At 39.6% G+C, this 21,614-nt stretch overlaps 1 annotated feature.

Annotated features, from left to right (window-relative positions):
* Window positions 9,398-11,500: an enhancer, noted in NCBI's record as "VISTA enhancer hs1566". NCBI's record gives its function as "enhancer in: forebrain[4/5]" and the evidence as "EXISTENCE:transgenic organism evidence [ECO:0001131][PMID:17130149]".

Below are 21,614 nucleotides of genomic sequence, written 5' to 3'. Positions count from 1 at the left end.
TGGTAAACCGCCTGACTGTAATGAGGCTGTGGCACCAACGCTTTCTGCTCCCGAGAATGGTGACATGGTCAGTCACTCGGCCACTCTCTGGAGCAGGTTCTTTCCCAGTCCCCATGGCACCTCCACGCTCTGCTTCAACCTCTCCTGTTTTCCTAATACATTCAGTCACATTTTAATGGCTGAAATGGCTTTGAAGCTTTCCCCACGGAACCAATTTTCACCCTCAGCGAAGGGCAGCTCCTGTCCTTCAGCAAGGAGTGTGCTTCAGTGATAAGTTTTCACAGGAGCCCAGAACTCAAATGTGTTTTGACTGTTGCCCTGATGGCAGCGTGTTAACATTAGCACCAGAAGTAGATCTGTCATGGAGCTTTTCTGATGAGACAGGCTCTCCAAATTAATTGAGGCTGATGGCAGATTTTGTCATTGAGATGAGATGTTGCCCACAGCTAGTTAGACTGCTGGAATATTTGGTGCTAATGACAGGGTTTCATTGAGAGACATGCTTAGGAGAGTCACAGCTAATATGATTCTAGATTCTTCCAGGAAAATGGTGAACTTATAAACTACAGGACATTGATATAAAGGTAGCTATTTTGCACTAGCCACAAATTCATGACTTAGATTCATTAATAAATGCTTTGGGGCAGGGGGGATAAAAATTGGCCAAGCAAGCTGTTCAACTGCAATATCAAAAGCTTGAAAATCTTTAAAAGTCCTTGGATATATTATACGTATCTCCAGAATTCTGAACAAAACCGACATCAGTTAAAGTTGCTTCTGTTGATTGTAATCCAGCAGAAATATCATAACTCTTGGCTTTGCCCCGGGCAAACTTTTCACTGAAGTCATTCATTTTGCTTTTTGTTATGGTTACCTAACCTCAGTCAGAATGCAGCAGGCTACCAAAAAATGTGAGGCAGCCATCTGGAAACTTCCAGTTTCTAACATTTCTCTGCTTTGGAAATGGGATGGAGTCTACCGACTTTTTCCAAATTTGATCTTTATTTTAAAGATAAAAAAAAGCATGACTAGGCATGGGAAGGGACTCAAATGCCAGCATGAGAGAAGGACAGTGGGTCTCACAACCCACACACATGCCTGGGATCGCTAATTTGGCCAGTTGCCTGGAAATATTAGTACCACCGGCTACCCCTCTCATTTTCTCAGAGGAAAGCCCTAGGACATGGAGTCTAAGCAATAACTCCTGCTCCCAACTGGAAACGCCCCAAGTCTTCCGGTTCCAGAATGAAAGGGTTATATTGTTTTAAACTTTACAGGGCACACTATAATTACGTGGCTCTTTTAGATGTTTTAAACTTTAGTATATTTGGTCCAGAAATCACCCTTTCTGAGAGCTCACTTACCATAGGTAGTTTCACTCTTAACTGGTAACTCAGACCCATGACAAGGACTCATGAGGACTCATGAGGAATCAATCCTCTTTGCTTATTTTGTTTCCATGGGCAAATCCTTCTATAGCTCACTTTGGGGGCTCATTTGTTCACATAGAAAAATACATATTCTGCCTTTATAGGTGCCTGGCATGGTGCTGGGAAGTGAGTCACTGAGAAAGATAATGTCTTGTCTTCTGACTTGGAGTTAGTTGTGCAGACAAATAATGGTAAAGTGGGATGATCTATATGCACAGATTTGTATGGAGACTTACAGGAACATAGGGGAGGGGGAAATAATTGTCGGAAGAGGTTAAGAAGGTGATACTGGATTAGGACCCGGAAAATGAGAAGATGTTTTCTAGGAAGAGAAGTGGAAAGATATTTCAAGCAAAGGTCATAGCTTATGTGGCAGAGAAAATTTGTGCATAGAAATTGTCAATGTGCTCCTCTGTATTTTTTAGATTTCTTGTACTTGAATTGGATCCTTGTGATTGAATAGGGTTGAATTGGATCCTTAGTGAATAGGGTTGTGAGCAGAAATGATGCATGACTTAGTATCCTAGGCACTCAAGCATTGGCATGCTTCATCCATTTCTCCCTTCTCCTGCTGCCACATACTTGGTAGAAATGTGTTGAGCCAACTGAGTCACAAGAAACAGGGAACCTGGATCCCTAAGTCACTGGAAAGAAGAGAGCCCTCCTTGACCTGCATGGTACTTTGTGTGAAAGAGTAATAGAATTTTATTGTGTTGTGTGTGTCTATTGTGGCCGTTTTCATTAATTACTCTGATACAGCATGTGAAATATTTGAAGACATAGGAGAGTGTGGCGTACCTGTGGAATGTTCAACACCTCAATAGAGCTGGAGGCTAGCATATGCAGGAAAGAATTTACAGCTTGGTTGGAACCAAATAGGAATTCTCTAAGCCGTGGTAAAGAGATTGCATTTTATTCTTGAAACAACTGGAAGGCATGGGAAGTTTTTATGCAGGGTAGTCAGGTAATCAGAATTAAATTTTGGAGATAAAACTATGATGGAGTGCATAGAATGAGTTGGAGTGGGGACACCCTGAGGCCAGGGATAAATTTGAAGTTACTGCAATAGGCTGGGTAAGAGATAGTGAGGGCCTAGGTTATGGAAATATTCTTTGTATTTTTGCATCAGTGAAATTTCTTAGGTAAAGAAGGAAAGTTGCCTCACCCAGCAGGTGAGGATGGCAAACTCCTGCTCACCTGTTTTTGTAAATAAAACTCTATTGCAATGAAGCTGCACCCTTTTGCTTATGTGTCATCTACGGCTGCTTTCACAAGACATGGACAGAGTCAAATAATTGCAACAGGAGCTATGTGACCCCCAAAGCCTAAAATATTTACTAATGTGTCCTTTTAAGAAAAAGTTTGCCAAATTGTACAGATAGGGATTAGTTGAACCCTGATAACATGGTCAGAGATACCTGTAACTTGGTTAATTGTGTCAAGGATTAGTTTGTGCCAACTAAGTTCAAATCTGTTACTATGTACCTGTTTAGCTCTCCTATGTAGCATCACGGTAGCATTGAGAAGTAACCTTCTCTCCTCCCCACCTCTCTCACTGCTGGGTTTCCATGGGAGTTGGAGATGAATGTGATTGACGAGGCAGTAAGGATGGGATATCCATTGTTTCTCTAGTAAAAGGGGTTAATAATGGCTTACAGGTGGCCACATATGGATGGCCTTTCTTTATTTAATATTTTTCTCAACAGGGGGTGAGTCGAGCCATAATCCTTTAAGTGACTGTCTAGTTAATTATCTACTCTGTTGTCCCATATTTCCCACATGTGGATTCTAAAATCCAGACGTAATGGGATGGTATAAAAAGACTGTTTTGATCTCCGGTCATGTCTACATACATGCACACATAAAGATGACATATACCTCACATAGTTATGCACCTAGCTTTTAAATTTAACTATGCATCGTGTAGTTTGTTCCTTTTCAGTAAATATCAAGCAGCCTCATTCTTTATACTGGTAATTAAATCAGTATTTTGATCTTTATTTGACTCTTATATTGATTCAGAACTTGGAATGGAGAGTATGTGCAATTTAGGAACCTTCTCAAACTCCTATATAAATGATATAAAGTCTCAAGTTTGGACATCCATTCTGGGACCTAGACATTGTGCTGGTGATATGGTTTGGAAAAAGGCTTTGGAAAAGGTGGATCTGTCAGATTTTTCTTTACAATCTGTGACATCTTTATTGCTGGTAGTCACAGGTGTGTGGCTATTTTTATGAGGCACAAGCTATGGGAGGGGGGTTGCTGTTTTTGACCTTAGCAGGTGCACTGGGTATAAAATAAAAGTATCTTTTGTTGTACAGTTTTTTTGGCTTTGGTAAGTGGAAACATTTTGTTCTCTTTACATGTTTCTCTGCAGGCCAGGACTTAGAAATACTGGTATGTATTGTTCCAACCTTTAAATTATAAAGAGATTGGTAGCAGTTATTGGTCAGCTGCTTCAAATCCTGTTCTTTAACTTGTTTTGACTTGTAACCAGTTCTCAGGTCAAAGAGGGAACAATGGCAAGACCACCTTCTTGGTATCATGTGGTTTGTTTGTGTGCTATTGAAGCCAATGCCCTTCTTCACCCAACATGGTCTCAAATTGACTTTCTCTTGTTAATTATATAATCTTCTATTACGGTTGTAGATTTCAAGGACCCATGCAGGGTTCAGATGCAGGCAGATTTTTGTTAGTAAACCTCTAAAGGGGAATGGGCGCTTACAATACAAAGATGTCATCCTCTTAAGTTAGGTGGAGGAAAACCTCAATGGAATTACTGTAATTCCATCTTTTTAATATAATAAAAGCAATTAAAAAGCTTTATGTAGTACTCTAGGAATCAGGTTTGCTGAGACTCTCCAGGAAAAACTGAGTAGGTTTAATAGCAGGCTTTGATTTAGAAATAGGAATAGTAACAGTGGGAGATTGAAAAAAAATCATTCTGATTAGGAATCATTTTTTGAGGAAGAAAGTTTCCTTAAGAAAAGGCTGAGATTAAGTAGCCTAAACAAAACAGATAGAAAAGGCAAAGTGAAGTCTTGCAATCGTAAGGAAAGGTTGGGGTCTTGGAGGCCCAGTAAGGCAGATCTGAAAGAAGGACAGAGGTTGAGCTCCTGGAGGCCTCATGTTCCAAGAAATTCTTTTTATTTTTTGACCTACTTGACTCAATCTACATTTTTCAGCAATTTAACCCCACAACAGAATAATACATATTTGTGTCAAATACTGATAAGGCACCCATAAAGATATAGAATATTTTCTCCCATAAAACATTAAAAAATTAATATACTAAAAAGTTTACAATTATAATTAAATTAGATATCAGTAACAGAAAACAGAAAATTTTGAATTATTTAGAAGTTAAGCAAAACATCTAAATCACTCATGATTCAGAGAAGCCCACAAAAGGAAATTTAAAGTATTTTGAAATGAATACAAATAAAATATAGCATGTCAATATTTATGGAATAAAACTAATATAGTGCTTAGAGTTAAATTAAATGCTTATATTAGAAAAGAGGAAAGCTCTCAAATAATCAGACTAACTACTGACTCTATGCAATAAGAAAAAGAGCAAATTAAACCAAAAGCAAAAGGAAGGAAGATATAATAATGAAAGTAAAAGAAGCCAATTTAATTAAAAATAGAAAAGACAGTAATGAAAATTAATGAAAGTAAAAGCTTCTGTTTTGAAAAATTAAATGATTAGTGAAATTCTATCTGGACTAACAAAAGAAAAGAGACAAGAAACTAAATTTAGTATCAGGAAAGAAAAGGAAATGTCACCATAGTCACCAGGAATATTAAAATAGTGATAAGAGAATATTGCAAGTAAATCTCTGCCCATAAATTGATAAACTGAAGTGAAAGGGACCAATATCTTGAAGAACACAAACTACCAAAACACATCCAAGAAGAAACAAAACATCTGGATAGCATCTTATCTATTAAGGAAATTGAATTTGTAGTTAAAAATTTTCCCACAAGGGCAACTTCAAGTCTTGATGGCTTTGTAGGTAAATTCCATCAAATATTTATAAGATAGATAATATGAATTCTCCTCCATCTCTTCCAGAATTGTTTTTCTTTTTAAAAATTAAATTACGTTTAAAAATTTAAAATTGACACAGAATCATACATATTTATAGAGTATATGGTGGTATTTCAATACATAGAATGTCTAGTGATCTGATCAGGGTAATTAGCATATCCATCATCTCAAACATTTATCATTTCTTTGTGTTGAGAACCTTCAATATCCTCTTTCTAGCTATGTGAAACTATATAATATGTTATTGTTCACTATAATCATCCTGGAGTGATATAGTACACTAGAATGTATTGATCCTATCTAGCTGTAATTTTGTACCCTTTAACAAATCTCTTCCTATCCTTCCCTCCCCCCTACCCTTCCCAGCCTCTAGTATCCTCCATTCTACTTATTACTTCTATGAGAACTACTTTCTTAAGCTTCCACATGTGAGTGAGAAGATGCTGTGTTTATTTTTCTGTTCCTGGCTTATTTTACTTAACATAATGTCCTTCTGGGAGATTCTTGGTCAAATTCTCCTTTGTAGGCCTAATATTCCCTTAACTCCTATCGTGTATTTGATGATTCAGTCACCCCTTCTTGGGGGAAAAAGAAGAAAGTAATATATCGGTTGAGTTAGCTATTGTTTTCAAGTTAAGGCACATCAAAATTTGTGTATGCTTTTCCCAAAAGATAAATTTTATATTATTACAACATATGGAATATATAATGCTTGCTAAGTATTCAAAAATTGTGGAAGCTTGATCTTTGAGGTTAGTTTATAAAATCTGCTTCAAAGGAGGGAGTGGAACTGTCATTGGTTGTCTTCATTGCCAAACGTTTCTTTCTCAGGAAATTGTATAAAGAATGAGAGCACACCCACCTGCTGCCCTACTTTGTAGCAGTTGTCTGGTTATAGGCCAGACCTCTATGCTTGCTCCCCTCAAAGCCAAGGGAGTCCAGGCTGTTGTGGGTGCTTGAAATCATTCATCTCACAAGCAAATGGCTAAAACCCATGAGTAATATCTCAATGTTCAGTAATCTATGTAGAGTCAAGGCCAAAGCAGTGGTAATAAACCAATTATTGACTGGTCTCTAGGTCAGTCAATGGTTCAGGCCTGTAGAGACTGGTCTGTCACAGGATTTCTTAGAAACCACAGGATGTCTAAGTCTCTTAGAAGTGAGATGGTCTGAAACATCTGCCTCCTTGATTATTTTAAAAGAAACACAATACAATCTTGTCCCAAAGATTTTGGCAAGCATCTAAAATACTGGGCTAGACTAATGGGAAAGGAAAAAGCAAATATAGTCAGGCATATTGCTTGTCAATAGGAGAGTAAGAGAATTAACAGATCAGGGGAGGGACTGGGCACAAAGAGCTCCAAAAGAGGAAGACAGGCAAGGTCTCGGAGAACAAATGAGAATGATTATCCCTGAGGGATGTGAGAAGCCCCAGTTGTGAGGGGTGTATTTAATGCCGGGATAAAGAGTCAAAATAAAAGCCATTGGGAAAGCTTGGAGACTGAGATAGCTGTGTCCAGTGTGCTATCCTTTTGCACAGATTTAAGTTAGGAAGACCAGGGAGATGGGAGATGAAAAATTTAACTAGAATTAGATGAGTTTTGGTGTAACCCAGAAATTGTAGGTGGGAATGTAACCATTGTGTATCCCCTGAGAGAAGGTTCCTGGGAAATACAGTCTTGTGCCATCTAACAATGTTGTGGTCAATCATGGACCGTGGATATGATGGTGGTCCCATGAGATTATAATACTGTATTTTTACTGTACCTTTTCTATGTTTAGATATGTTTACCACTGTGTTACAGTTGCCTGCAGTATTTAGTACAGTAACATGCTGTCCAGGTTTGTAGCCCAGAAGCAACAGACCATCCCATATAGCCTCGGGCTCCAGGAGAATATGCAAGAATAGGTTAAGAGAGATGAGTATCTGGGGCAGAAAGAAAAAGAGAAGCAAAAGGAAAGAAGGCTCTGGGATCTAGTCCTACATGTGGAAGAGGAGGAATGGACTCAGCTTAAGGATTAGGCTGCAATGGGAATGACGCAGCTCACCTGCCTGTTGCAATGAGGACAGCAGAGGGAAATGGAGCTCTAGCGGCAGATCCCAATACCACTAGTGGGAGGAGGAGCAAGGGGTGTTTCTGTGTCGCTGAAATAGTAGATGCTATTCTCCCTTTTGTGGATCTCAAGGTGTGGGTCGGTTTGAAGTTATGAGGAGTAGAAGGCCCAATTTGGCCCTAAACCCAGTCTAGTTTCCCCAATTACAAAAGTAACATTTGATCCATTTTGAAGGCCTGAGTCTATTTCCCAGTTTGCTTGGAATTCAGCATGGAGAGTGATCCACTAACCTCAAAAATACCTAAGCTTTCTGTGTAAAAGACTTTATCCTAAGTTCTCTCTATATATCCTTTCATTTACACTTCCCAAAGCCCTGTGAGGGGATTTCATCCCCATTTCACCGATGAACGATATGAGACTCAAAGAGCTTCAGTCATTTGTCCATGGCTCACGTGTCAGAACTGGAATTAGAACATGGGTATGCGTAACTCCAGTGCCCTTCTACTCTCAATGCCTCTGTGAAATCACTTCATTGACATGTGATTAGCTTGAGCTCAGTGGTCTATTCTGTGATGGGAACTTCTATACAGACAGCCAGCCTTTCTATTGGTTTCTCTTCTTCTCGTGGTAGTTTTGGGAGGAGCCATAGATAGTGCTGCTGATATGTGCTTCCTCTTCCCCAACCTTCCATCCCAGTATGAGCATCCTTGAAAATAATCATCAGGAACAGCTTGGATTATTTATTCCCTTCAAATTCACAGGCTCGTTAGAGTGAAAGACAAGACTTTTAAAAAATTACACTTCTAGGTGGGCACAGTGGCTCACGCCTGTAATTCCAGCACTTTGGGAGGCCAAGGCAAGAGGATTGCTTGGGGCCAAGAGTTTGTGACCTGAATGGACAACATAGCGAGGCCCTGTCTCTACAAAAAATACAAAACAGCCAGGCATGGTGGTGCATGCCTGTAGTCCCAGCTCCTGGGGAGGTGGGAAGGCTAAGATGGGAGGATTGCTTGAGCCCAGGAGTTTGAGGCTGTAGTGAGCTATAATCATGCCACTGCACTCCAGCCTGAGTGACAGAGCAAAACTCTGTCTCTAAAAAATAATAATAATAATAAAGAAAGAAAATCTCGTTTATGTTGCTATCCTCTTTTGTTGGGTTGTGTCTGACAGTTGACCTTGAGACTTGAGAGGTACAGAATGCAGCAGATGAAATGATGTGACCCAACCTCCTTATTTCTTGGCATAGGGGAGAATGATGATTGGGATGGAGCAACTCAGGATAGAAAGCTGCTTGTTACTTAAAGCAGTCATCCATTCAGTCATTTATTCAGTCAGTCAGCTGGTCACAGAACATATTCCGAACCTCTTTTGTGTACCAGGCACTGTTAGATTCTGAGGATAAAAGACAAGAGTGCTAATAACAATAGCAATAATAATAACAACATCATCAGCTAACAGGTTTTGGAGGCTTGTTTTGTACTGGGCATTTCTGCTAAGAGATTTTATAGGCATTAGCATCATCCTAACTTTTAAATGAGGAACTGCTGCACAGAGTGGTAGTAACTTGCCCAAGGTCACACAGCATTGTAAATGGGGAAATAAACAAACATCTTATTTATCCTTGAGGGATTCATAAAATATAGATTAAGATGTGAAAAAGAAATTTGTAGTGAAAAAGTATATTTTTGTAAACAAAAAGAAGGGAAAGGTAATACCAAAAATTCCCAGGAGAAATGGAGAATGTTTATCCTGCAGCATCTAAGAAAGAGGCCCAGGTACATTGACTATTGGCAAATTTGATGAAAATTAAACATAAAAGACCTTATATGTGTTACAGGTGATGTGGTGGCTTGAATTACCCGTTGAGTTCCAAGCTCACACCAGGTTGTACTGGCCTGGGGAATGGATCCAACCCAGCACACCTTGGTAATCTGGAGCAGGTAGACTTGCTGCATTGCGGGAAGAAAAGGAGCAGCCATTTACTCTCTCCTCTGTGCCAGGAACATCCATTACCATGTCCTGCCTGCACAGGCCAGAGCCAATGCAGCTGCTAAGAGAACGGCAGATGACTTCCAATGTAACCTCTCCTAACCAGCACAAAAGCATTTTGCTGGCTGTTTACTGGTTTGCCAGGTCTGAATTGGGTCAAGGCACAAGTAGCATCCTTCTTGTTGAATTTCTTTTAATTAGTTGCCTAATAGCCGCTGTTTCTTTTTCTTGTTACTGCAGCATTCAGGAGCCCCGATTTCCTGTAAAGCACCATATTTTAAGTTCAGCCTCAGTAGTGGCTGTCCCCTTGAAATGCTTCTGCATCTCCAGGGTGGGCAAACCAGCCTCCTGTTTGTGCAGGCTGGGCGGCTGTCTGTGCAAATTGATTGCTAAGTGCTCATTTTCCCACTGTGGGTTTCTGAAATTGCAAATATGGAGGTAGGATGGCAGTGTGTGGGTGAATGAGGAGTGAACTGGTGTGTGCTGCATATGACAAGTGCCTCCCATGTGTCTGCTTTTGAATGTGCCATCCTGGAGCTAATGACACTTCTCAATTAAATTGCAGTTTTGCTCTCAGTAGCTTTGCCCTATTGTCCAGGCCACTTGACCTGTCAGGCAAAGAGGAGACGGTGTGTGGGAAAAGAAAATTCCCTCCCTGCTCACAGAGAGAGAAGCCTGTTCGCATTCTGAGGGTCTCTCAACTTCTCAGAGCTGGAATGGCCTATCTCAAGACATCATCAGATGCAAATAAAACAAAGCCTCTCAGCTCTGGCTGCACAGTATTCTCTATCTGCACTGTGAGTCACCGTGCTCATAGTAATGGCTTGCCTTGTGAGCCGCTATCAAGCGTGTGCGTGTTTTTCTTTCTGAGAGATGACAGTTCCCAAGTGAAAGGACACTTCAGCTCTGATAAAACTTTCCTTCTATTGTTTGAGTTTTGTGTTTGTTTTCTGGCAAAGCCCACTGCTGCCTGAGCATTGTGTGCAGTGGAACATTTTCCATTTTTGTATGGTGAGGCCAGCCATGGTCTTTAGGGGGTTCTTACTAGTATTGCCTGAAGCGAATACCACAGCTCAATAGCAATTTAATATTGTAATCAGGGAGCAAACTGTGCAGTTTTGGCACATTGTGATAATTATTAACTACATCTATTAGTGTTATGGTTCTAGTAAGTAATATTTACAAAAGGTTCCCTGTGTAGGGGAGACCTTGCCCAGACACAAATGTCTGAGTTATTCCTAAGTGATTGTCAGAGGCCCTTTGAGTCAATGTTCATGTTCACTGTTTAAAGATAAAGCATCAATCCTGAGAAATCAGACTTCAAAAGGCCTGGCTCATGAATAACAAATTCTCAGGGTGTAAACCTTAGCTGAGGTTTGGAACATTTTTTGATGAGTTTTTGGGAAAGTTGTCCTGGGGTAAAAATCTCAAAGATAAATTGAGAAATAGAAAGAGAGAGAGAGAGAGAGAGAGAGAGAGAGAGAGAGAGAGAGAGAGAAAGAGAGAGAGAGAGAAAGAGAGCCAGAAGATAAAACAAGGAAATTCTTCTATTTAATCGGTATAATCCAGGAAAAGATTAGTGCATGTTCCCCTTTATGTGACAGCAGAGTAGCTTTGGAATATCAGTGTTTTTGTTCTCCTGGTGTGCTAACTGGGTACAGTGGGCATTGATGGCTGGCTTTTGGGGATGGGAAGCTGTTATATGCTACCAACACCACTCTTTAGCACTGAGATCCAACAAACTGGGTCACACAGGGTCAGTGAAGAAGCTGACCAAAAGACAGACGCTTTCTCAAAGCTCCATAATTCTGCTACTGTTCAAATGATGTTCCCAGACAACATCGTTGCCTCATATTTGTCAAGTTACAAAATAGCATCATATTTTTCCCTCATGAATTTTCTTCAATGGCTGTATTTAATGAATAGAGTTTACTGTTAAGTAGTAATCTGGGCTAGAAGAATAATTTGGTTTCATTTTCTGAATATTCTACTCTTCGACTTCAAAGAAAATACTATTTAATGATTATCCTTATTTGTGACTAATAATGAAGCTTTGTTTATTTGCATAGTTTGATATTCAGACAGACAGACACACAGACACACATACCACACACACACACAAACACACACACACAAACACCCCTCCCTGGCATATTTGTTAAAGGTTTTGGTTATGTGTATAGAAGATTGAGAAGTTGTCTGAAAAGTTTTGAAAAAAAAATCTCAAAGAGGAAGCCTAATCATGGAATTGAAGTGATTGAAAACATATATGGTTGCAGGGAGGGTCTCACTTCACTCGAGAGAGGTAGAGATTTGGGGTGGTTTTACATATTTGCAGTCAAGATAAGCTCATTGACATCAGGTTTTCCCCACTTCTGAAATGAAGCTGAGTGACATTTCTTTTTTACCCTTTCCAATGAAAATCTTGCTGTCCGAGTGCTGTTGGTGCAGCCCAGAGCTCCTTCCCCAGGTCCCCCATCCCTTGGCTGCTGTGAGTAGTGGGTGCTCCTCACCACTGCCCCCTTCTCAGGAGGACTGCCCTGCACTGAGGAGGACTGGGGATTCTGCCTCCCACAGCGGGAAGCCCTGCAGACAAGGACTGACTGCCTCAAGGCAGAGATGACTCTGTCGGGTGGATTGTATTCCAGGCTCTTTGTGGATCAGGCCAAGGGAGGACTTGATCTGGTACCACGTCCTTGCTTGCCTTTACATACTCCCCTGCAGGTGCTTTTGGAAGAACACTCCCTCCACAAATCATGCGGACCAAATCCCTGTCTCAGGCTCTGCTTCTGGGGAATCTAACCTACAACACCTGCCTAATATTGTTGCTTATGGCTCCAGCTTTGGTCCTGAGGGTGTATGTCAGAAAGTTATAAACAAAATGGAATGATATTTCCATGAACTGTGTGCCAAAGAAACTATCCAGCCATTCATCTGTCCACTCATTCATTCACTCACTCACTTGCTCACTCATCCACTCAGTATTTATGATGACCTAAGACGTGGCAGGAACTGGGGTATGCATTATGAAAGTACAAAGGATCATAAGCCATGGTCCCTGCCCTCAAGGAGCTTACAGTAGATGCGGGAAGACATGCATATGGGTGTAGTAGGAAAAGCACAGACTTTGGGGTTGGAGAGGTCTGGGTTCAAATCCTGCTGCTTGCCATTTATTACTGTAAAAAATTAGAGAAGTCACCAAAGCCCCATGAACCTCAGCGTTCTCCCCTGCTAAATGGAAATAAAAATACCTACCTTGTAGGGTGGTTGGGAGAATTAACTCAGTGTTTGGCACAGTATTCACTCAATAAATGGTTGGCTAATACTAAAACAGAAAAGTGGAATGATGTTTTATAAGAAAGTTCCAGCTACAGTATTCAAGTATATGGTATTCTGAAGAGGTAGGTGATTTTTAGCTGAATATATCAGTTAAGATAAGGTTTGGCTTCTAATTTAAAAAAAGTGAATAATGGCTTAAACAAATTAAAAGTTTATTTCTCCTCCAGGTAAAGTCCAGAGGTCAGTAGGTGAACTGGTGTGGGAGTTCTGTTTTGCTGGGTCTTCAGGAACTTGGGCTCCTTCTGGCTCACAATTATGCCATCCTTAGGCTCTGACCTGCATCCTCATGGTTCAAGATAGTACCTAGAGCTCCAGCCATCACAACGGATTTCAGGAAGCTGGATAGAGAAAGAGATGAAAAAGGGAGGTAGGGTATACAAAAGCTTTTTATTAAAATGGAATCCATCTGAAAGCTGACATACTACATTTCTGCTTACATTTCATTGATTAAAAATTAGCCACATGACCACATTTAGCTGCAGGGAAAATTGAGAAATGTAGCTGTTTTTCTGAAAGATTATGTGCCTGACAGCTCAAAGCTGGAGCTCTGTTCCTATGGGAGAAGGAAAGAATGGCTACTGAAGCCAGCTAGCAAACTGGCCATACCTCAAGAATGTCTTCTTGGAGGAGGAGACATTTTAGTTAGAGCTGAAGACTGGGTAAGATTTGGAAATGTAGAGGTTGGGAGGAAGATATTTTCAGTTGAAAGGAAAACTAGAACGAAGGGTAAAGCTAAAGGATTTTATGAGCTAAAGAAAATTATTCATTCACAAACTTGTTCATACACCCAGTATTTATTTACTGTGTAACTACTATGGTATTGTCCTAGGTATTGGGAATACAGCAATAAAAAGACAATCCCCTGCCCCGATGAAGCTTGCGTTGCTCTAGAAGACCCAAATAATTAGCAAATGAATGAATGAATACAAAAATATACAATAATTATAGAGCCATAGCTACTAGAAAGGCATAAAGCAGCCTTGGAGAGTAACTACCATGGCCATGGAAATCCTCTCTGAGAAGATGACATTAGTTCAGAAACCTGAAATGAGAATGAGCCAGACATGCCCCTCTTTGGAAAGTGCTTCCTGTAAATCATCGATAGTTGTGCATTGCTTAACAATGGGGATACACTCTGAGAATCACCATTAGGTGATTTCATCCTGTCAACATCATAGAGTGTACTTATACCAACCTTGATGGTATTGCTTATGACACACCTGGGCTAGATGGTATAGCCTATTGCTTCTAGGCTGCAAACCTATGCAGTAGGTTACTGCATTGACTACTGTAGGCCATTGTAACACAATGGTAAACATTTGTGTATCTAAACATAGAAAAGGTACAATAAAAATACAGTAGAGAGGCTGGTGTGGTGGCTCATGCCTGTAATCCCAGCACTTTGGGAGGCAGAGGTGGGTGGATCACCTGACGTCAGCAGTTAGAGACCTGGCCAACATGGTGAAACCCCACCTCTACTAATAATACAAAAATTAGCTGGGCGTGGTGGTGGGTGCCTGTAATCCCAGCTGCCTGGGAGGCTGAGGCAGGAGAATCGCTTGCATCTGGGAGGTCGCAGTGAGCTGAAATTGCGCCATTGCACTCCAGCTGGGTGACAAAAGTGAAAGTCAGTCTCAAAAAAAAAAAAAAAATACCGTAGAGGAGATTAAAAAATGGCACACCTATATAGGGCACTTACCTTGAATGGAGCTTGCAGGACTGGAAATTGCTCTGGTGAGTCAGTGAGTGAGTGGCGAGTGAATGTGAAGGCGTAGGACATTACTGTACACCACTGTAGACTTTAGAAACACTGTATGCTTAGGCTACACTAACTTTGTAAAAATATATATTTCTTTCTTCAGTAATAAATTAACCGTAGCTTTCTGTAAATTTTTTACTTTATAAACTTTTACATTATCTTTAACTTTAATATCACTTGGCTTAAAACATAACACACTGAACAGTCATTAAAAAAGGTTTTCTTTCTTTACATCCTTATACTATAAGTTTTTTCTATTTTGAAAATTTTCAGTGTGACTTTTTTACTTTTAAAATTTTTTGTTAGAAACAAAGACACAAACACACATTAGCCTCGACCTACACAGGCTCAAGATCATCAATATCCCTGTCTTTGCCTATAAATATCAATATCACATTTTGCCCCACTGGAAGGTCTTCAGAGGGAATAGCACACATGGAGCTGTTGTCTCCTATGATAACAATGCCTTCTTCTGGAATACCCCCTGAAGGACCTGCCTGAGCCTGTTTTACAGTTAACCTTTTTTTTTAGTTTAATAATTAGAAGGAGTATATTGTAAAATAATGATAAAAAGTATAGTATAGTAAATACATAAACCAGTAACATAGTCATTTATTATCAAGTATTATGAGCTGCACATAATTGTATGTGCTATACTTTCATACGCCTGGCAGCACAATATGATCAGTTTATACCCACATCACTCCAAATGTGTGTAATGCATTGTGCTATATTAGGACAGCTCCGACATCACTAGGCAAGAGGAATTCTTGAGCTCCATCATAATCTTATGTGACCACTGTCATATATGTGGTCTGTGATGGACCCAAACATTGTTACATGGTGCATGACTGTACATGTGTAATATCTATTTATATAACATTTTACAACATATAAATTACATACATGTATGTCATTATATAACATTTTATACACAAATAAAATGTTAGGTACTGGTAAGTGCTATGGAGAAAAATAAAGCAGACAGGTGGAATGAAGTATACCAGGTTCTCTTTTTGGAGACAGCTTCTCCATGGAAGTGGCATTTAAGTAGAACCTGAAGGAAATGAGGCAATAAGCCATGTGGCTATCTCCATGGCAGGAGACACAGAAAAGACTTCTGGTTGAAATGCTAACCAGTAGTAAAGAGTGAAACTATGTAGTGAGACATCTGGGCCATACGTTTCTTGGAAACCAAGCAAGAATGAAGAACAGCTTCATGAAGATGCAGGGCTTCCAGATGATGACCACCCCATATTCAGGCATAACCAAAGTCTGGGAATTGTGAGACAAGCATCTAGACCCAAGATGCTGTGTGATTAGCTGAACGTGAACTAGCCACGAGTTATCTTCAAGTATACAATAATGGCTCATATTTTTGAGTGTTTGCTATGTTCCTGGCACTATTCTAAATGCTTTAAAAATGTAGGCTTTATTTGATCATCACAATAATACTTTGAGGTAGTTTATTATATGCTCCAGTTCACAGACAAGGAAACTGAAGCACAGAGTGGTTAAGTAACTTGTCCAAAATTACATACCAGTAAATGGCAGAAGTGGGATTCAAACCTAGGTAGTCTGACTCCAGAACTCTAAGTTCTCTTGTTTCTCAGCTTTCTGCTGTATAGTATCCTGGAGTCTTAATCTTCATGCTTTTATTTCTGCACTTCATGGTGTATAACTCATTCTCTGATTTGTCACAGGTAGCTGCATTTCCTTGAAGAGACAGCATTGCAATAGCAGAAGACAGACTCAATACTTGATCTATTTGGCTTTCAATATAGGCTCTTGAGAATCAAAAGAGAAGGAAAGCTGAGGATGGATTTTATGCCGTCACAGTACACAATAGATTGGAAAAAGAATAGAGGGGAAATCAGGTCACCTTGGAGGACTTGTTGTGGGCAGGGCTGAGAAGGTAGGGTTGGAAATGTCAGGAAGCCATTCTTGAGGTAAGTAAGAAGTAGTAAGTTCATGGAGAAACTGCTGAGGCCCATGGGTAGCATTATCAGAGATGCCCATGGAAGCAGAGCCAATCCTCTAGAAGGTCCCTGTATGTAAGAGAGCATAGCCAGTGGCCTGGGTGGAGCAACTGGGAAGGACTGGACTTGCTCTTCTTGGGACTTGCTCTTCAGGTGAGGATCACCCTCTGCTAGCTGCATGCACAATGTGCATTGCCTATGGATCCTGCAGTAGAAGGAAGTGTACCTGTGCCCAGAAAATGTGTTAAATTGTGCTCAAATGGCATTGAGGGGACAGTCACACTGTCTCCTACTCTTCAGTGACACAAGCAGTGGGGATGTAGAAGAGAAAGTCCAAGTACTGGTGTTTGACGTGGTATGGGCAGGAGCACATGGGTGTCAGGGCTAGTGTGGTGAAGGGCAGGCCTCTGCAGTTACAGAAGACAGTATCATCTGTGGCAGAGTGGGGGCTCAGTTTCTTGCAGTGACATCACATGGCAGAAAGAAGCAAATATATGTACTTGTGTTCTGGGGTTTGGACAATTTAGAGGGAGGGTTGGAGTCCCAAGAGCTACTGAATTTTCCACAATCATGGGAAGTAGATTATCAATAAATATAAAAATATTCCATTTCATTTTTTTGTTTGCTTATTTATTGAGCACCATTAGATTGTCAATGGGACCACAACTGCAGGCATTGCCTGTCTTATACTCAAGGGAGTGGCCCCTTTGTTAAGTGTGGGCCTAGAACCTAGTAGCCATTAAATAATATTTGTTGAATGCATGAAGGCTGAGCCTTATATTAACAAATAAAAATACTATAAAATATTTTTAAAATTAAAAAATTTTTTGATTAGATGTTGTTTTCCTGGGTTGGTTGTTACAAATCCTGTGTCCTTTCAGAAAATTATTAATTGAACAAAATTAGAAAATGCAGCAGTACAAAAATATGTCATTTATAGTATGAATAAAACTATAAAATATTTAATAATTTATATGAATAATATGCATAATACCTTATAGAAGAATCTTATGAAAATTGAAGGCTGAATAGAATGAAATGCAAATTTAAACAGGAAGATCTAGAAGACTAGCAAAAATAAAACTATCTCAACTATACCAAGTACTGATTAAGGAATGGTGAAATACAAACTGGCATACATAACTTGTGAGAAAGAAAAGCAGTATAACCACTTCAGAGTATAACTGGCATTATTGTAATAGTGATGAATTGTAAATAGCCTATGTCCATTAATGAACAGGGAAATGGAGAAATAATCTCTAGCTGTATTTATACAATGGATTAATACCACAAGGCAGTTAAACAGGAATAAACTAGACCTATATGTATCATATTGATTATGTCTCAAAATATAACAGTAAGTGAAAAAAAATCAAGTTGTGTAGAGATAAACATACCACCATTTATGTAAACTAAAAACACAGAATATAATACATTCTTCATGATCAAATATATATACATATATACACACATATCTATAAATCTATTATCTATCTATCTATCTATCTATCTATCTATCTATCTATCTATCTGTAGTTCAAGTATATAAAGGCAGACTTGGACAGGCGTGGTGGCTCACACCTATAATCCCAGCACTTTGGGAGGCCAAGGTAGGAACATCGCTTGAGCTGAGGAGTTTGAGACCAGCCTGGACAACACAGTGAGAGCTTGTGTCTATTTAAAGTTTTTTTCTGAGGTAGGATTAAGGGAAATGAGACCAAGGAAGGAACTGAGGCACTTGGGCTGTTTTGTTTCTTTTATAGATTAAGACATAGAAACATTGGGTGATGGTTACTCAGGTATTTGTTACATTTTTCTTTCTAGTAGGTAATTTTACAGAACCTTTTCAAATTAAAACACATGCATACATAGTTATCTAACCCGCTGTAATTTCTTATAACAAAAAAATTGATCTTGTCAGTTTTCTCTTTGTGTAGCATATGATGGATTAAGGTCCTTTGGCAAGGTCTCCTCAACATGAAATCACAATTTACATAAATATATAAAATAGTATGACTGATTAGCAAGGTCGAAATAAAAAATATATACCTAGGAAACATAATAGAAAATAAGAAAAGATATTCTTTAAGTATTTTATTCATCAAAAATGGACACTTAGACAATTTTACCTTATAATTGACAGAGAAATATTCCCTGTCTGTCTCAAAGGGTAAAACTCGGGTCAGTGTGAGAGGACGGCAGGGAGAGAGATTTTAGATCGACATAAAGAAAACTTCCTATTAGCTAGTGGTTTAACAGTACCAGAGTGCATCTCTTATTTATGTCACAGCTCAGTGCAAGTCAGGAAATTCTCTAGGGCAGCCTTCCTGAGTGTTCTCCATGTGTCCAATCTCCCTTCTCTTGTGTTGGTCCTGCATCAACATGCACTGACCACATTGTTACCAAAGGAGAAGAGAAAATATGGAAGATCATGCAGAGAGTTTGTGTTCAGGCCAGAAAGTGGTGTGCATCATTCTTTCCATCATTAGATTGGCCCCAAACCCAATCACATGAGCCCAATTTAATGCAAAGGAGGCTGGGAAATGCAGTCTTCCGGGATGGCCAAGAAGAGGAAAAGGAAACGGGATCTGGATGCATGACATGGTCTCTGCCCGAGATGCTAAAGCAGAAGAGAGAGTAAAAAGTAGAGCTTTTTATTTTATTTATTTTATTTTTTTACAATGTCATCCTCACTCCCCTCCCCCAGGGGGGAAGATAATAACAACTATAAATTGCTGCCTGGAATAAGTCCCAATTGTAATAGGAGGACAGAAGGTCAAAAGGACTGCATAGTTAGAAAACTTAGAAAAACCTAATATGTTCAAGTCAGCAGGACCTGATGGCTTGCCCTGTAGGATACTGAATGAATTTTCAACTTTCATCTTAGGACTGTTAGATAGTGTTTCCCCCAAATCACAGAGGATTGGAAAATCCCCTAAGGATAGCAAAAGGGTAAACGAGGTGCCCATCTTTGAGAGAGAAAGACAGGATGACCCTGAAAATTTCAGAACTGTGAGCTTAACATCGATACCTGGGAAGATCTTGAAATAAATCACCAAATAATCAATTGAATAGCACCTGAAAGGACATAAAATACTAAGTAGCAATCAGTAAAGCTCTGTAAAGAGCAAATAGTGCCAGACCAATTTAATTTCCTCCCATGATTGTGAGAGGCTATGTAGACCAGTGGAATTGATTGATGGGATCTATCTCAATTTTAGTAAAGATTTTGATTTCTTAACTAAGGCACTGTCTTTGATATGTTATTAAAGTATATTTCTGTCTACACTTCTGCTAGAGGATAGAAGGCTTCACCCCAAGGGGAGTTATCAATCTAGGGGGACATATTGAGTGCTATCTCAGAGGTATTGGGGCTAGGATCTATCCTACTCAATAGCTATTTTGATGGGCTGGATGAAGGAATTAAGATTATCCTCATGAAATTTGCAGCAGGCACTAAATTAGGTGAAGTTGTTGCTGCTCAGCAAGACAGAAATAAAATTCAAAATGGCCTTGACTCATTGAGAAAATGGCTCCACAAAGCTGGGATAAATTTCAATGGGGACAAGTGTAAAGTGGCACGGGCACCCCCACAGCCCTAGAATAGTGGTTTGGGCATACTTGGCGCTCAGCAAATATCTGCAGCACCTTCCTTGCAGTGTTGTTGTGAAGATCAAAGTGTGATAATGATGCGGAAGTGCTCTGTAAACCACAAAGTGCCTTATAAATGGTAAAGGTCTGCCCCAATAAGAGGAAACTTATTATTAAAGGCAAGGAAATATGTCCTGTGAGGAAATGTTAAAAGAAGTGGAGCTGTTTAATCAACAGAAGAGAAGAAAAAGAGAAGATTTCATGAATGTAACCATTTTATAAGGGTTTTAACAAAAGAAATGATTTTCTCATCTCTATTTGTGTGAAGAAAAAATGAACTTGAATAACACAAGACATATTTCAGTTAGACATGAGGAGGAACTTCTTACCTAGGTTGGGTCCCCTATGGGGACACCACGCTTCTCTTTCCTTGTAGATGTTACACTTGGTCAACGTTAGCCAGCTCACTGCATAGGATCTCTGCAGGCCCTTGTTATATCTGTACTATCTGGAATAGGACTTGACATCTAGTATATACACAATAAATATTAATAACGGTTGAATGTGTGATTGTCAGGTATAAAATATTGGCTAAAAACTTGGGGAGTCAACTTTCTTAGAGATCTTTAAAAAATAAGGGTGATTTATTCTAGGAGACAAAATCTTTCCAAACATTGATTTCATGAGTGTATGTATTTTAAAAAGAAGTGAAAATACTTATGATATATTCTCATCCTAGTCTTAGCTTTGGCCCTCATGGATAGGACTACTAGCAAAAGAGGAAAGGAGGCAAAATCTTACGATCTCAGTCCCATCAATACCTTGTTTCTAGCCACAGAACCCTCATGAGGAAAAAGGAAGAGTAAGGAAAGTACAGCTAGCTATTCATGGTATCTGCTAAAATTGGAACCATTTTCTATATCTTAACTGTTCATTTCCACATCTGTTTTTCTAGAATCTCTGGTCCAGGCCACAGAAGACATAATCAGTGGGTTGATGTTGGAGTATTCTCTCCCCAGCTTTGCCCTAAGGCTTGGGAGGTGACAGGATGGGCCAGGAAGGTCTCTGCTCCCATTGTTGGGGTATTTATTACTGGTATTTATTCCCAGTTGGGATTGTAGACTAATCTCTCCCCAGTCCTTCCACTAAAACCTACTTTAAATGGATTATTGCATAATTAAGATGTATCTTTTAAAAATGACATGCATTATTTAGTTTCTAAGTAAAGCCATAAATTTTACACATGAGTGTTCTGGAATTATGCCCAGAAGGGGTCATTCTTTGAGGCAGTCAATCCAGATGGCTGCCTTGCAGCATCTACAATTGCCATCAGTGGCTTGGACCTGGGGTGGGTGTCCATGTCGCTTCTTGTTTTCTGGGTAGCAAGATGAACTGAGTGTGTGTTGAGCTGTATG

The sequence above is a fragment of the Homo sapiens genome, chromosome 18 (genome assembly GCF_000001405.40).
Source record: "Homo sapiens chromosome 18, GRCh38.p14 Primary Assembly".
NCBI classification, from domain to species: Eukaryota; Metazoa; Chordata; class Mammalia; order Primates; family Hominidae; genus Homo; species Homo sapiens.
Note: the sequence above shows the minus strand (reverse complement) of the source record. Positions and strands in the feature narration are given on the sequence as shown.